Here is a 5,563-nt window from a genome sequence, read left to right as displayed (position 1 = left end):
AAGCCATCTAAGCAGCTCAGAACAGAAGAATTGCTCAACTGAGCCACAGAATTGTGAGGAATTATAAATGTTTTAAGCTACTAAGTTTGGGGTTGATTTGTTATAGGGTAAAATGTCATACAAAATGTAATGGACATCTTTTACTCTCACCTTCCCAACATCCATTTCCCTTTTATGCTTACAGCACCCAATTTTTCTCCACCATTTTCAGTCCATGTGATTGTGGAAAATCAGGGTCTACCAAGGTTTCAGAGGTGGGCACGTGAAGTAGGCCTGCCAATCACAGCATTGCATCTGTAGCAGATACCTCTGACTGGCTAACCTAACTCCCATCCCCAACCTCCTTCCCCCTAACTCACCTCGGTGAGAGACTCTGGAGGAGCAAATGGTTCTCCCAGCCTCCCTTCAAGGTAGAAGCGGCTTTGTGACTCAGAATAGCCAGTAGGTTGTAAACAAGTCTGCCAAGTACCTCTGGGAAATCTCTTCATTACTCGTAAAGCTCGTAAAGGAACAGTTAATGCTAATACCTTCCCTTTTCTTCTTACTGCCTTGAACATGGTTGTGATTTTTGGAGCTGTAGCAGCTATTCTGTAACCATGAGGCAAAGGCCAAGAGCATTTTGAAGTTGTGATTCATTCCTGAACCACTAAACCAGCAGTGGCAACTGTCTACCTCTAGGCTTCTTGTTATACAAGCAAAATAAATCTCTATTTTTAAAACACCCCTGATCTTTGTGCTGATAGTCAAGTTGTCTGTTCTTTTTTTTTTTTTTTTTTTTTTTTGAGACAGAGTGGCTGAAGTGCAATGGCACGATCTTGGCTCACTGTAACCTCTGCCTCCTGGGCTCAAGCAATCCTCCAACCTCAGCCTCCCCAGTAGCTGGGACTACAGGTGTGTGCCACCAGGCCAGGCTAATTTTTGTTTTTTTGTGTGTGTGGAGACAAGGGTTTTGCCATGTTGCCCAGGCTAGTCTTGAACTCCTAGGCTCAAACGATCCACTCACCTCGGCCTCCCAAAGTGCTGGGATTACAGTGTCTGTCTCTTATAGTTGAAAACATTTCTTAGCCTGGTGTGGTAGAGCATGCCTGTAGTCCCAGCTATTCAGGAGGCTGAGGTGGGAGGATCACTTGATCCCAGGAGGTGGAGACTGCAGTGAGCTGTGATCCAGCCTCTGCATTCCAGCCTGGCAACAGAGTGAGACCTTGTCTCAAACAAACAAACAAACAAACAAACAAGGCATTCCTAATACAGCATCTCACTAACTATAATAATTAGTCATAAAGAAAATAGAAGAAAATAGAAACCACTACCAATTGCAAATAATTTATTTTATTTTATTTTATTTTATTTTTATTATTATTATTTTGAGACAGAGTCTTGCTCTGCTGCCCAGGCTGGAGTGCAGTAAGGTGATCTCGGCTCACTGCAACCTCTACCTCCCGGGTTCAAGCAATTCTCCTGCCTCAGCCTCCCATGTAGCTGGGATTACAGGTGCCCTCCACCATGCCCGGCTAATTTTTGTGTAGTTTTTAGTAGAGACAGCATTTCGCCATGTTGGCCAGACTGGTCTCAAACTCCTGACCTCATAATCTGCCCGCCTCGGCCTCCCAAAGTGCTGGGATTACAGGGGTGAGCCACCATGCCTGGCCATGCAAATGACTTTTATATTCTTCTTTGTAACTTTCACTATTTATAAATGCCTTTAGTAAGCATGCATTTATCGGGGAACCTGCCCCAATAGTCACGTAGGTTCTTTTCTATTTTCCCTAAGCATCAGCCAATTTGAGAGATAAAGGGACAGAGTACAAAAGAGAGAAATTTTAAAGCTGGGCGTCCAGGGGAGACATCACATGTCGGTAGGTTCCGTGATGTCCCACAAGCTGCAAAACCAGCAAGTTTTTATTAGGGACTTTCAAAAGGGGAAGGAGTATACGAATAGGTGTGGGTCACAGAGGTCACATACTTTACAAGGTAATAGAATATCACAAGGCAAATGGAGGCAGGGCAAGATCACAGGACCACAGGACTGGGGCAAAATTAAAATTGCTAATGAAGTTTCGAGCACCATTGTCATTGATAACATCTTATCAGGATACAGGGTTTGAGAGTAACCAGTCTGACCAAAATTTATTAGGTGGGAATTTCCTCGTCCTAATAAGCCTGGGAGCACTATGGGAGACTGGGGTCTATTTCACCTCTACAGCCTCGACCATAGCAGGCAGCCATGCCCAGGGGGGCCAGTTCAGAGACCCACCCCTAGGCATGTATTCTCTTTCCCAGGGATGTTCCTTGCTGAGAAAAAGAATTCAGCGATATTTCTCCCATTTGCTTTTGAAAGAAGAGACTGCTCACCGGCGGTCAGAGTTTAAGGTTATCTCTCTTGTTCCCTGAACATCGCTGTTATCCTGTTCTTTTTTCAAGGTGCCCAGATTTCATATTGCACAAACACACATGCTCTACAATTTGTATAGTTAACGCAATTATCACAGGGTCCTGAGGCAACATACATCCTCCTCGGCTTACGAGATGACAGGATTAAGAGATTAAAGTAAAGACAGGCATAGGAAATCACAAGGGTATTGACTGGGGAAGTGATAAGTGTCCATGAAATCTTCACAATTTATGTTTAGAGACTGCAGTAAAGACAGGCATAAGAAATTATAAAAGTATTAATTTGGGGAACTAATAAATGTCCATGAAATCTTCACAGTCCATGTTCTTCTGCCATGGCTTCAGCCGGTCCCTCCGTTTGGGGTCCCTGACTTCCCACAACATGCATTTACTTGGTAACCAGGGGAAAAAATGAAGATTGAAATAATTTGATAGCAACAACTCAGACTTTCAAGACCCAAAGGATGGAAGCAGGCTGATCCATTGTCAGGAGACAGACCAGGTGTGACCTTTTGATGTTCAAGTTTCCTTATCTATAAAGTGGAGATAATATTTCCTAAGTATCTACTTCCTATGAACAATGTTAGAATTAAATAACATAGTTTTCTTGGGAAGCTGAGGTGGGCAGATCACTTGAGGTCAGGAGTTTGAGATTAGCCTGACCAACATGGTAAAACCCTGTTTCTACTAAAAATACAAAAATTAGCCAGGCATGGTGGCATGCACCTGTAATCCCAGCTACTCGGGAGGCTGAGGCAGGAGAATCACTTGAATCCAGGAGATGGAGGGTGCAGTGAGCTGAGATCGTGCCGCTGCACTCCAGCCTGGGTGACAGAGCAAAACTCTGTCTCAAAATAAATAAATAAATAAACAAATAAATAAATAACATAGTGTTCTTTTTTCTTTTTTGAGACAGAGTCTTACTCTGTTGCCCAGGCTGGAGTGCAGTGGCATGATCTCGGCTCACTGCAACCTCCATCTCCTGGATTCAAGTGATTCTCCTGCCTCAGCCTCCCAAGTAGCTGGGATTACAGGTGCCCACCACCACGACTGGCTAATTTTTGTATTTTTAGTGGAGAGTGGGTTTTACCATGTTGGTCAGGCTGGTCTCAAACTCTTGACCTCAAGTGATCTGCCTGCCTCGGTCTCTCAAAGTGCTGGGATTACAGACGTGAGCCACTGCACCTGGCCATAAGATAGTATTTATAAATGTACATGGTGTTAAATAAAGATTCATTTTTTATGCTTCCTAATAAAATAAGAGTTCAGATATAAGTGACGGGCGTTAGTGGGTGCAGGAAAGAAAGATTGGGGTGAACCAATGAGTGGGTAATGAAAATGTAGAGCTTGGTATGGTGGCTCATGCCTGTAATCCCAGCACTTTGAGAGGCTGAGGCAGGAGGATCACTTGAGTCCAGGAGTTCAAGACTAGCTTGGGCAGCATGGCAAAACCCTGTCTCTACAAAAAATACAAAAATTAGCTGGGCATGGTGGTGCACACCTGTGGTCCCAGCTACTCGGGAGGCTGAGGTGGGAGAATCACTTGGACCCAGAAGGCGGAGGCTGCAGTGAGCCAAGATCATGCCACTGCACTCCAGCCTGGGCAGCAAAGTGAGACCCTGTCTCAAACAAACAAACAAACAAAAAACAAAAAAAAGAAAGAAAGAAAAAGAAAATATGGTATATATACACCATGGAATACTAGTCCGCCATAAAGAAGAACAAATAATGTCTTTTGCAGAAACTTGGATGAAGCTGGAGGCATTATTCTAAGTGAAGTAACTCAGGAATGGAAAAGCAAATACCTTATGTTCTCACTTACAAGTGGGAGCTAAGCTATGGATACACAAAGGCATAAAGAGTGGTATAATGGACTTTGGATACTCAGAATGGGGAGAATGGGAAGTGGGTGAGGGGTAAAAAAACCACATACTGGGAACACTGTACACTACTCAGGTGATAGATGCACTAAAAACCGAAGTCTGCTTCACCAAAATACAATTCATCCATGTAACTAAAAACCACTGTACCTTAAAAGCTATTGAAATTGTAAAAATGAAAGACTGGAGTGAGAGCTTGGACGGCTATTTTCAGGTCCCACCCCATATTCCCAGTGCCTACTGCATTCCATCTTGTGAGGCCTCTGTCCTCCTTGTGCAGGGGCAGCCCAGCACAGACCACTTCATTTGCCTCTTCAAAAAGGGAAACCCCAAGCCAGCGCCACCTCTCATCCTACTGACTCTCCTCTGAGATCAGGCCCTTTTGTTGTTGATCCTGAGTCGTTTTTACCCTCACGAGTCATGTGTGTCCTTGAGGTTGCTCTTTACAAAATTCAGGGAGTAACTCCCTTTCCCCCTGCGTACCTGCAGCATTTTTTTTTTTTTTTTTTTTGAGACAGAGTCTTGCTCTGTCGCCCAGGCTGGAGTGCAATGGTGCGGTCTCAGCTCACTGCAACCTCTGCCTCCCAGGTTCAAGCAATTCTCCTGTCTCCGCCTTCCGAGTAGGTAGAATTACAGGCATGCGCCACCACGTCTGGCTAATTATTGTATTTTTAGTAGAGATGGGGTTTCACAATGTTGGCCAGGCTGGTCTCCAACTCCTGACCTCAGGTGATCCACCCGCCTCAGCCTCCTGAAGTGTTGGGATTACAGGCGTGAGCCACCGCGCTGGCCACTGCAGCATTTTTCTGGCCCTCGACAGCTCTGTGTCTGTGACTCTTCTATTCTCTCCTTTCTCCCTCTCTAGAGGCTAATTGACATGCACAGACATGTTCTTCAGGGTTGTGTCCTCAATGTTAAAAAATGTGAATGGCAAGTAAGATTTCTAGTCTGAAGTTTATCCTTTGAAGTCTTTTAACAAGTCACCAGGGATTGAGAGGGGCGCAGAGATGGGGCCTGAGAGCTGTTGCTGCTTCCAGGAAAGGGATGGAATGCCCCCACAGTTCCCAGACAACCCCTGAGAAATTCCTTCAGAGATTTCCTCTGATGCTTTTCTGGAGACCTTTCCAAGAATGCTGGAGAATGCAGGCTTCTTAATCCATAGAGAGACCACAGTAAGTAGAGACTCTCAGAGCTCTACTTACACGCAGCCACGCCACACATGCTCAGCTCCCACACAGGGCATTTACCTCCAAGCACTCACACAGAGGTCTGTGCTCACACCCAGCTCCCAA

The 5,563-nt window shown here is 44.9% G+C and overlaps 1 annotated feature.

Moving 5' to 3' along the window:
• Nucleotides 4,936–5,563: an enhancer, noted in NCBI's record as "H3K27ac-H3K4me1 hESC enhancer chr1:113305483-113306110 (GRCh37/hg19 assembly coordinates)". NCBI's record gives its function as "activates a minimal SCP1, AML or CMV promoter by ChIP-STARR-seq in naive and primed H9 embryonic stem cells {active_cell/tissue: H9 hESC(naive and primed)}" and the evidence as "EXISTENCE:reporter gene assay evidence [ECO:0000049][PMID:30033119]".

The sequence above is a fragment of the Homo sapiens genome, chromosome 1 (assembly GCF_000001405.40).
Source record: "Homo sapiens chromosome 1, GRCh38.p14 Primary Assembly".
NCBI classification, from domain to species: domain Eukaryota; kingdom Metazoa; phylum Chordata; class Mammalia; order Primates; family Hominidae; genus Homo; species Homo sapiens.
This window is presented reverse-complemented; position numbering and strand designations above follow the sequence as displayed.